General features: G+C 39.3%; 1 protein-coding gene across 2 annotated transcripts in view; it reads right to left on the bottom strand.

Moving 5' to 3' along the window:
* JADE3 (jade family PHD finger 3) overlaps positions 1-12,432 on the bottom strand; it is a 148,942-nt gene that overhangs the window by 31,742 nt on the left and 104,768 nt on the right. For both annotated transcript variants that reach the window (NM_001077445.3, NM_014735.5), the window contains exons 5-6: positions 4,587-4,777; positions 1,398-1,609 (exon numbers count right to left, since the gene is read on the bottom strand). In NM_001077445.3, coding sequence (NP_001070913.1) covers positions 1,398-1,609; positions 4,587-4,777 — 403 coding nt within the window. The remainder of the gene's footprint in view (positions 1-1,397; positions 1,610-4,586; positions 4,778-12,432) is intronic.

Here is a 12,432-nt window from a genome sequence, read left to right as displayed (position 1 = left end):
GACAGAACTGAAGTTCCTTAGTTTGTCAGACGGTCCTTTACACACGTCTCTTGTATCCCTCTCTACCCTCACTTTCCATGCCTTCCCTACTCTACTCTGCCACTTTACAGTTTCTGAAGGCTTCAGTTGCCTCTGACATATTTTGCCTGCTTTCACTACCCTGTCTGAACATTTCTCCTCTCTGCCTGAACACACATTGCTGGTTTACTTGACATCTCCTTTTGGACATTAAGATTTAGCTTGGGTGCTACCTCCTGGAAGTTGTCCCTGACCCTCGTTTCTCACAGATGCATTTCCACAGCAGCTTGGACTTATATCTATAAAAACACTTGGCATATGATGCTAAATTGGCAGTTTCCTTATATTTCTTTCACCAGACTATGATCTCCCTGGGGGCACAGACCATGTCTGCCTCTTCATCACTGACTGTGTCCTCAGCATGCATCACAATCCTGGCCCACGGAGTACTGTACCTATTTGCTAGACAAATTAACAAAATGAATGAAATATACAACAGGTTCAGAAGAATGAAAAATCACTTAGGGTAAGGGAGTTCAAGAAAGGATTTGAACTAGACCTTGAAAAATATATAGATTTTTGATAGCTGGGACATAGGAGGAGGCATTTACAAATTGGAGTGTGGCTGAAACATGGGAGATAGGACAGTGTCAGGAATATTCATCACTGCACCTTGAGTAACCTTATTTTGTTGGAACACAGTGCTTGTGGGGGAAAAAATGGAAAGAGCTGAAAGGAGGGTTGATATCATAATCATCATTATTAATTAAAAAGGCAGTATAGTAGAAAGAATGACAAATAACCAGCTTGGGTAAAGTCACTTCACCTCTCCCGGTATTTGTGTAAAATTGAGGAGTTAGACAGTCTTTTGCAGTCCTAAAATTCTGTGATCTTTAAAAGTGGGGTGGACATTCTTAGGAGTGGCATGTTTAGGGGATGGGGGAGGGTTACAAGTGCCAGGATAAGGAGTCTGGACTTCTATTTGTAGGAAGTGTAAACTCACCAAGGTTACTGACCATGGGTGTAACCTCATGAGGCCATGGAGATTTGAAGGAAGAGGAGAGACCTCAGACAGGCAGCAATGAGATCCCCCTGGGGCAGGGGCCTAGGGGCAAGCTGAACAAGGCAATCCCAATGGTCTGGGCATAAAGTGACACAATAAAGACCTGGGTTTAGCCCCATGGGGTAAAGTTAGTCAGCAAGTCATCTTGGGGGTCATAAGAAGCATTGTTTCTAGAGGAAATACTGAAGAACAACCAGGCCAAATCTTTATTTTCACCCTTAAATGCAAGCTGCTACCCAGATATGCGTGCTGGAGATCATCACTGAGCTTCAGAAAGGCTGACCGTAGGGAGATGACGGTCTCCACTCTCACTAACCTGATGCACACAGACGTTACACTTATCACAGAACACCATATCATTCCCTTCTTCACTGTCTGGAGACCGGCACACATCACAGATCACATCTTCATCATACTCTATGCCTAGCCCTTCCTCTGTCTCAATAGCATGGTTCATATTTTCATGGCAATGGCGTTCCAGGACTTCTACTGTCTTTTCCATAAGATTCTCATCAACTGGCCCACAACCTGCACAGAAATACAAACAATCAATCAACCCATCAGTCAGCTGTCATTCCCAAAACACCTACTGTGAGCCCAGTGCAGGAGTGGGTAGGATTCTAAAGGATAAAAACATCTCTTTCCTGCTCTAAAACAACCAGATTTCAAAAAATCTTTTGCTAGTGCTACTCTAACATTTACCTATAATCATATATTAGTGTTTGACACATGAAAGGAGATGTATATTTCACCATGTTCCTTAGAAGATATATTACTGACCCTTTCGATTTCTTGTCCAAATCCTTGCCAGTCTCCTCTTAAATCTCTATATTTTCTCTTATTCTCACTGTAGGAGGACTTTCACCAAGCTTTATAATTCTGGACACGATAATTTGTAGCATAGTAATTAAAATCACATAACTATTTGGATATAATAATTCATTCTTAGCAAGTTAGCTTCAATGAGCATATCTAATGATTATACAAGGAAATTTTCATATAAAAATGTATGAAGCCCATAAAAGAAAATTCTAGGTCCCATGTGTAGGTGATTACACATATAAAATATTTTGTTTTTCAAATATGACTTTTAAAAAATCTAATAATATTTTTCAATGGCAAACTATAACAACATATAAACCTGTTAATATTCACAAAGGTCTAACTTCAATTCTGGAATTACCTTCTTTGCTTCCTGATTCCTTTTCTCAGCTATAACTTTATCTTAGCCTTCCACACTTATTAATCAAATTTTGTGACAGCACTTATGTATTTATTCTAACAACTTGTAAACTCCGGAATAATCCTCAAGATGATCCAAAACAAATGTACCCAAGTATTCCACTTCATTTGTAATATAAGATGTCCTAAGAAACTTTAGAATTCCACATAAACTACCATTTTAAGGTGTGGCTACTTATGAAACCAAAAACTGCCCAGGCCTTATGTTTCATTTTTCCAGCCAAGACAAGTTACACATTTTTTTTTTGGAGTAAAGGAATATAGTGTCTGGTTACAAGAAAACTTGGATTAAAATTCCAACCTTACCTCATATTAGCTATGTAAACTTTGACACGTTATTTATCCTCTTTAGGGCTTAGTGTTCTTATCTATGAAATTAGTATAATAATAAGAAACCCACTGATTTGTTGTGAAGCTGAGATGAAGTAATATTGGTACATTGCTTAGTATGGTGCTTAATATGTAGTCAGCACTCAACTTAAAAAGTTCTTAATTCATAATACGCTTAATATTGTTTTTAAAAAGTTTACTTTAAGCTCTTAGACACCTCACTGCAATATCATTCACCCTAAAGAAAAGCTTGAGATACTGCAATCCTCTTTTAAAATTCTTACAAGCCTAAATGCAATGTGGTATACTTGATGGGATCCTGGAACAGAAAAAGGTTGTAAGTGGAAAAAAAAACCTTGAAATCCCAATAAAGTCTGAAGTTAACAGTAATGTACCAGTATTGGTTTTGTAGTTTTGACATATGTACCATGGTAAAGTAAGATGTTAACATTAGGGGAACTGAAACTGTGAGGTGTATATGAGAACTCCCTGTACTAACTGCAACTTTTCTGTAAATCAAACTATTCCAAAATAAAAAGTTTATTTAAAAAACTCACCCAAGGAGAATTAATTACAAAATACCAAAGGAACCTCATAATAAGGTAGTTTCATGCCAAAGGCAGCCTTGCAATGATTGTGATAGCTATGGATATTATATGCATTATGAACACAAGCGCACATTGAGCCATGAATCCATTTGATTATGTCCTCATATTCTGATTTTACTTCTCTGTCAGTCTTTCATTCCCTTCTCTTTGTGGTTGCCACCCTAAATTTACCACTCCCCTCTCCTCTTAGGGGGCAGAGCAAGAAAAGACATAAAACAAAAAGCTTTAAAAATCAAGGAATAAGGATTGGTTACTGGCAGAGTAACTATCATTCCCATGCCAAACTGCTTTAATATAATTTCAGTTTTTTATTCATGTGCATTCAGATACTAGCCTCAAAAGAAAGAAAGGAAAAAGGGAGGGCGGGAAGAAAAGAAAAACCACTGATCCTTATACTAACAATGAACAAATGTGATTCAAACAAAAATGAAATAAAATGTGATTCAAACAAAAATGAGATCAAATGTATCCTTCACCATATCTTATACGGAGTCTTAAAAACTACCCACAGATCTACAGGAAAACTTGGACGTGAACACTGCTTAGACTGAAAACAGATGAACAAGAACTGTGTGTAAGTATAAAATGAGTTATCTTTCAGCCTAGCATTTCTCAGTATTGTTGGTATGGTATTGTATGGCACACATTTACTTTAAAATTATTAATTATGTTTACTTCCATATGTAAACATAAATTTATTTGCTTGTTTTTGTTTCATTTTATCTTTTGAATATTGTATGACAACTCTAGAACTCCGTGGAAGTAGCTAAGAACTGCTTTGTGAATGTTTTGCTCTAGGCCTGCAACTTTTCTTCCAGGTAGCAAGTCCTGCATTAAGGGGTACTGTCACAGCAATCTGTCAGTTGCAGTGGTGCTGCTCAATACTGAAGTTGGAGATTCTCTCCAAGCCCCTGCCAGAGGGGCCTCTACCTCTGGCCCTGCTCACTGATCACACTGCTTTTCAGGCCAGGAACCTGCCTCAGAATTCTCAACCAGAAGTCCAATCAGCTATGGCCAATCAGCTATGGCCATTCTCAAACTTCCTGAATTGGGAAACAACTTCATGAGACCTATATGCTATCCTTGATCTGTGCCATTAACTATGAATGAGGAAAGAAAAGGTCATATTTAAATATTATTGCTTTATTTCTATGTATGCATTTGAAGAAATATCTCACTGAAATAAGATAAAATCAATGAGAAAAATAAATGAAAAGGCCAGAAAAGAAAGGAGGCAACAAAAATAAAAACAAGCTAAAGGGTTCTGATAACTTAAAAAAAAAACATGAATTAAGTCACAACTTACTTGTGAGAAAAGAACTTACCCATTTCTGCAAGGTCTTCATTGAGTTCCTGAAGCCAGAAGATGTCCATGTCATCTAGGTCATAGCGGCAAACAGATGCTGCCAACTCCATGATGTTGATGTAGCCAGGCTCTGTGGTGTCTGGGCTGGAGCAGTGAATATACTTCCGGGGTCGGATAAACAGAACGTCCTTTACCTTCTCAGCTATAATCCTAGAAAAGCAACAGAAAGACAATGATAACAATCAACAAATGACAGATTTCAGGCACTGAATGGATGGCTAAATGCCCTCTGGGAGGTATGGCAGATTCCTTTCTAGAAAGCAAATGGTTTTACAAATTTAGTTTTGTCATGTGCTGTTAACTCACTGACTGCTTACAATATTCTTTATTCACCCTCATGGATCCTGGTTCCCAACATTCTAATTTTTAAAAAAATTTTTAGAGACAAGCTCTTGCTCAACCACCCAGGCTGGAATGCAGTGGCAAGGTCATAGCTTACCATAGCCTTGAACTCCTGGGCTCCAGTGATCCTCCTGCCTCAGCTTCTCAAGTAGCTGAGACTACAGGCACATGCCACCATGCCTGGCTAACGTTTGAAAAATTTTTTTTTGGGTAAGAGATGGGGTCTCACTATGTTGTCCAGGCTGGTCTTGAATTCCTGGCCTTAAGCAATCCTTCTAACTTGGCCTCCTAAAGTGTTGGGATTACTGGCGTGAGCCACCACGACTGGCCCATTCATTCTAATAAAATGTCGTCACATTAGTGTGTTCTTGGTACAATGGCCACCAAGTTTATTTAGAAGAGGAAACCAACCTGGGAGGGGGCGATATCTGCACAAAGGCACAGCCAGATCCCATACCAAAGATATATTTCAGCCAAATTAATAATTTTCTGTCACGGAGACAATACTGGATGGTGGTAAAGAAAACAAGCTTTAGTCTCACAGAGGCTTGTTTTTTTCTGTCACTCACTTACATGGTGATCTCAGGCTATTACTTTATTTGTTTGTTTGTTTATTCATTTATTTTGAGATGGAGTCTTGCTCTGTTGCCCAGGGTAGAGTGCAGTGGCATGGTCTCGGCTCACTGCAACCTCCGCCTCCCGGGTTCAAGTGATTCTCCTGCCTCAGCCTCCCAGTAGCTGGGATTACAGGCAAGTGCCACCACGCCCAGCTAATTTTTTGTATTTTTAGTAGAGAAGGGGTTTCACCATGTTGGCCAGGCTGGTCTCGAACTCCTGACCTCATGATCCGCCCACCTTGGCCTCCCAAAGCGCTGGGATTACAGGCGTGAGCCACTGTGCCTGGCCACTTACTTTATATAAGGTTCAGTTTTCTTAGCTAAAATGTAAGGATAACAATCATTAAATATGATAAAAATAATATCTAGCAAAGACATGGAATTAACCTAAATGCCCATCAATGATAGACTGGATAAAGAAAATGTGGTACATATTCACCATGGAATACTAGGCAGCCAAAAAAAAATGAGATCATGTCCTTTGCAGGGACATGGATGGAGTTGGAAGCCATTATCCTCAGCAAACTAACGCAGGAACAGAAAACCAAAACCTGCATGTTCTCACTTATAAGTGGGAGCTGAATGATGAAAACACATGAACACATGGTAGGGGGAACAACACACACTGCTGCCTGTCAGTGAGGGGAGGGAGAGCATCAGGAAGAATAGCTAATGCATGCTAGGCTTAACAGCTTGGTGATGGGATGATTTGTGCAGCAAACGACCATGGCACACGTTTATTTATGTAACAAACCTATACATCCTGCACATGTACCCCTGAACTTAAAAGTTGAAGGGAAAAAATGCCAAATTTGTAGGACTATTATAACAATTATATAGAAAAAAACAGAAAGTGTTTGGCTTAGTGTACAGTAAAAATAGATGCTCAATAACGTCATTGTTATTGTTTTTATATTCCTTATTATTTTCACTATTTATGCAAATGAGTTAAAGCCAAGAGGCCATGGAGCTATGCACACTCAATCCATTTCCCAACCATAAACAATAGCAACCATAAATCTAAGCCCAAGCAGACTGATATTTCCCCTCACCCTTCCTGACATCCAAGGGCTCAAGGCAAGGAAACCAGAGAAAAAAATAAATTTTTTTCATGCCAACAAGTTATTATTGGTGGTTTAAATACTGTATGAGGCCTCAGAAAATTTAACCAAGAGAAAAATCTGGATTATTATTCTGTGGCAATTTTAAAGAACAAGGTGGTCCATCTAAAAAAAGAAATAAACACACGTATGTCATCATAAAATAATGAAAATCATTTCTCCGGAAGGCTTCTAGAGCCAGTTTCTTTACTCTAGAGTCATCACATATATGGAAGGATTTACAAACACAAACATATTCCAATGAATAAACATAAAATATATACAGGCATAGTCCACCCTATAAATGTAGAGAATACTGCCTCCTAATAAGCATTCTTCCAAAAGCCTGATTCCAAATAATGAACCTGAATAAAGCTAATAACAACGACACACATTTGCACATTTTAATTTTTCTACTATATGGAGTTTTTAAAGCCAAAGGGAACAAATATTTGAGGAAAAATGCAGAAACCTCAAATACTAATTGAAACTAAAATTTTGGGAATTGCTGTTAGAGGCCTGCTTCCAACTGAAACATACCCAACTAAAAAGGGTAGGACAGACATATGAATTCTTTAGAGACTATGAGATTAAATATGTCATGTTTCTTTAGTGCATGGCCTAGAAGGGAGAATACCCAATTTTTTGTCAAGAGTTATCTTCTTCTAAAAGGAAGACCGTTTTGCTAACTATTCATCTCAATCGCCTCAAATTCTACATGGAACAAGGTAGGCTATAAATGTTTTTCTATACCAATATGCTCATTAAGCTTCTGGAAGAAAACAGAGGAGAATATATTTATGACCTTGGGGCAGGCAAAGATATTTTAAATAAGACACAAAAGCCATTAACCATAAAGGAAGAGACTGAAAAATGAAACTAGAACTTCTGGTTATCAAAAGAGACAATTAAGAGAATAAAAAGGCAATCCATGGGACAGGAGAAGATATTTGCAATTGCACATAGACAACAAAGGACTTACATCTACAATATATAATAAACTCTTACAAATTAATTAGAAAAAGACAACCCAATTAAAAGCTGGGCAAAAAAACTTAAAGAGATACTTCACAAGTAAGGCTATCCAGATGGCAAATAAACTTTTAAAAGGTTCTCAACCTCATTAGTTATCACGGAAATGCAAACTGAAATTACAATCACTATTATCTACCAGAATAATTAAACTTAAAAAGACTGTCCAAAAATTGAAAATACTAAATGTTGGTAAGGAAATGGAGCAAATAGATTATCTCTTATGCTGCTGGTGGGAGTGTGAATTTGAACAACCACTTTGGCAGCAGATATTATAGCTGAACGTACACATACCCATGACCTAGCAAACCCACACTAGGTATATACTTAGCAAAAGTGTACACAGATGCATGCCAAATGATAAATAAAAAGGCTCATATCAGCATTTTTATGGTAGGTAAAAACTGGAAACAACCCAAATATATATCAAGAGCAGAATAAAAAATGTGGCATATTCACACAATGCATGACACAGAAGTGAAAATTAATGAATTACTACATGCAACAGGATGGATGGATGGCAAAATCCTACTGATGAGCAAAACAATTCAGTCTCAAATGACTACACTGTAGGAGTCTATTCATAGGAAGCTCAAAAACTGGCAAAACTGATACCTTGGGTGAGGGAGGTCAGTTACTGGCAGGGAGAAGAAGGAGGGGTTCTTGGGTGTTGGTAATATTTTCTTTTTTTTTTTTAGGTAGTTCTCAGTGGCATGACCAAAGCTCCTGCAGCCTCAACCTCCTGGGCTCAAGTGATCCTGCCACCTCAGCCTCCTAAGTAGCTGAAACTACAGGTACACACCACCACGATGGCTAGTTTTAAAATCTTTTGTAGAGATGGGGTCTCACTGTGTTGCCCAGGCTAGTCTTGAACTCCTGGGCTCAAGTGATACTCCCATCTTGGCCTTGCAAAGTGCTGGTATTACAGGCATGAGCCACCGTGCCCAGCCATGTTTTATTTCCCCATCTGGGTGGCAGATAAATGAGTGCATTTAATTTGTGAAAATTCATTCAGCTGTACAGCTTTGTGTACTTTTCTGTGTGGATATTATACTTCGATGCAAAATTTACAATAATGATAATGACAGCAATGTCATCTCACTCATCTTTCCTCGTGTATCTTGAACTAAAGGTCTGCATCTAAGGACCAAGACCATGACAATAAATTATATACTAAAACAGTAACACCAACTACAAGAAAATACATGGGTAAAAGATGAAGTTAATATAAACTCACAAGGAGAAATTATTGTACTTATAATGATAGAGGGGGAAGGGCTGTGAGAATTAGTGAAAAAAAATATGTTTGGGATTTTTTAAATGCAGCTTCAATATCTTCGAGTATATATAACATGGCTAAAGCTGGAGGAAATCCCAGGATTATCCTCCCTGGATGGGTGATTTTCTTTCTTGGCTATGTACTATGGATAGACACACTTTTTTTTTTTTTTTGAGACCAAGTCTCACTCTGTTGCCCAGGCTAGAGTGCAGTGGCATGATCACAGCTTACTGTAACCTCTGCCTACCAGGTTGAAATGATTCTCCTGCCTCAGCCTCCCAAGTAGCTGGGATTACAGGTGCATGCCACCATGCCAGGCTAATTTTTGTATTTTTAGCAGAGATGGGGTTTCACCATGTTGGCCAGGCTGGTCTCAAACTCCTGACCTCAGGTGATCCACCTGCCTCAGCCTCCCAAAGTGGTGGGATTACAGGCGTGAGCCACCGCGCCCGGCCTGATACTCTTTAAATGGTCACTAGACCATTGACCAAATCAGCAAAAGCTCGCAAGCCCAGAAGCATGAGCAATTTTGTTAGGATGAGGTAACCTCAACTTTCAATTTGGATGCTTGCATGTAAATGAATGTTGTAATAACTTTCCAGATGACTAGCCTTTGGTGAAAGGACCCACAATCACATCTGCTCTCCAGGGGAGACCAGTGGCTGGAACACTACTACCTCTGGCCTTTGTGGATACTGCTGTGCCAACTAAGGAGGCAATAAAAAGGTAACTGCAGTCACTCTAACCTGATCTATGGCCTCCTCCAGTGTCTTATGTACAGAGACCCCTCAGTGTCTCTTCAGTTGATCTAAATATTTGGCAGGTACAGACTATGCTACATTTCCTAATAAGTGGATTAGAATCATTTGTGAACACTGCAGAAACTGCATAAAACCAAAACCTCATAGGTTTTGTAAAGGTTTGAAATAAATGCCTTAAAAATGAACTAGATAGAGTTGGGTGTGGTGGTATGTTCCTATAGTCCCAGCTACTCAGGAGGCTGAGGCAGGAAGATCACTTGAGCCCAGGAATTTGAGGCTGTAGAGAGCTATGATTACACCACTGCACTCCAGCCTGGGTGACAGAGTGCGACCCTATCTCTAAACACACAAATAAAACTAACTAGATAGTAGTTACTGTAATAACAACTCTAGGAATCATTTCCCAAGATGACCCTTGTTCATCCTACCACTCTGGGATAATCACTTCTCTCCAAGTCTCCATGACTCAAAACAAAGGACAATGATAACCCCTGCGACAGATGGTATTTTCCAAATCCCACATTCTTCTGCAATGTGACTTTGTCATCTTCATCAAGTAGTGAAGTCTATCTCCCTTCCCCTTAAATAGGGGAGGGCTTGTGATGGTTTTTGATCAATAGAAGTGATGCCATGAGAACTGCAAGGCTGGGTCATAAAATGGAATGTAGCTCCCTCCTGGTTTGCAGGAACGCATGCACTTGGAGCCCTGTGCCTGACTCCTGTAAGAAATCTGACTATGCTGAGGTTGTTAGGCTATGAGGAAGCCAAACTAATGGAAAGGCCATGTGTAGTCTATGTTATCCAAGCCCAGGGATGGGCTGTTACACAGACACGCAGTGAATAAGCCTTCAGTTGATTCCAGTGCCCAGCTGTTGGGTCACTCTCAAACTTTGTCTTCCTTGATGAGGCCCTAGACACATCATGGAGCAGAGGGAAGCCATCTCCACTGTGCCCTATCTGATTTCCTGACCCACAGAATCAATGGGTATAACACAGCTGCTCTAAGCTGCTAAGTTTGGGGGCAAATTATCATCAGCAATAGTAACTGGAAAACTGCAAAAGGACTGTTTTAAATTTTAAATAAGATAAATGTGTAGGAAAGTGCTCTGGGCCGGGCGCGGCGGCTCACACCTGTAATCCCAGCACTTTGGGAGGCCGAGGCGGGTGGATCACGAGGTCAGGAGATCGAGACCATCCTGGCTAACACAGTGAAACCCCGTCTCTACTAAAAAATACAAAAAATTAGCTGGGCGTGGTGGCAGGTGCCTGTAGTCCCAGCTACTCGGGAGGCTGAGGCAGGAGAATGGCATGAACCCGGGAGGCGGAGCTTGCAGTGAGCCCAGATCGCGCCACTGCACTCCAGCCTGGGTGACAGAGCGAGACTCCATCTCAAAAAAAAAAAAGAAAGTGCTCTGTACATTGTGCTCCTTACTGAATTCTCATAATTGAAAGTAAAAGTGATAGAATGCTGCTGCCTAAAATGGGATGAAAAAGGAGGTGTGGGAAGAAGGAGGTGTGGGAAGAAGGAGATGGGGTGAGGAGAGTAAGGGGAGATGGGAGGGGCCTAGATGACCAAATACAGCAGTGGAGTGGGAGGCAGGCATGTGTTTCCATTTATCATTAGGGGTTGTTCTTTTACTATATGAAATATGGATATATTTTGAAAGTAGAGTTAATGGGATATCCTGTTATATTGAATATGGGATATAAGACAATGAAGAATCAAAGATGACTAAGAATTTTGGCTTAAACTGAAAAGACAGAGTTACAGCTAGAAGGATAGATTTTTCTATCAGCTAAAGCTAGAGAACTACAAATAGAACTGGTTTGGGAAGATCAGTAGTTCAGTTTGGGACATTTTTAGTCTGAGATGTCTACTGGACATCCAAGTGGAACTGTTGAATTGACAGTTGTATATTTGAGTCTAGAGTTTAGTAAAGAAAGCACTGATCTCCATAGCCCAGTAAGTCCAGAGTTTACATTGCAAGGGGAAATAGGGACCTATCTATATCCAATCATTTCCTCTTTCAGTTTTATTAACGATGCAGAAGTATATATTAAGTGAAAAAAGCAAGTTATAGAACAATCCCATTTATATATACATATATGCATGTGTATAAGCATACACTACACAGTTAATTTTTTTGTATTCTGATTGTTTTTATTTGTATGATAGTTCATCCGTAATTTTAAAAACATACACACATGCACACACACACAGTAAAACTTCATTAATCATTGTGTATTATACAACTTATAATGTATGTTTGCTTTCAACAAAAAATGAAGCATTGTTTTCCTTCTATTGGAATCTTACTGCAATAGAAACTGATTAAAATATATAAATGAATACCCAAAAAGAAATATCTGAAGCTCACTGTTAATGACTCAAAATCCTTCAGTCTACCTAGAGACATGTAAATAGGGTTAACACCATCTTTATTTGTTGAACTCACTGTCGAAAAATTTCTTTTGGTCATCAGTACTTACCTAAGCAGCTATAACTTACAGTGCAAGATGGCTCTGTAATCTCTGTACCCCTCCCCTCAATCACCACATATATACACTATACTGAACTAACAGGGAAACTGCAGAAAGGACAGTGAAACAGATGGGAAAACCTCATCTGAAAGCCAGAACAAAGATTCTGAAAGGATGTGCTCTATCTATTCTT

This window comes from Homo sapiens, chromosome X (assembly GCF_000001405.40).
Source record: "Homo sapiens chromosome X, GRCh38.p14 Primary Assembly".
In the NCBI taxonomy this organism is placed as follows: domain Eukaryota; kingdom Metazoa; phylum Chordata; class Mammalia; order Primates; family Hominidae; genus Homo; species Homo sapiens.
The sequence above is the reverse complement of the archived record's forward strand: the minus strand, read 5'-3'. Positions and strand labels throughout refer to the sequence as shown.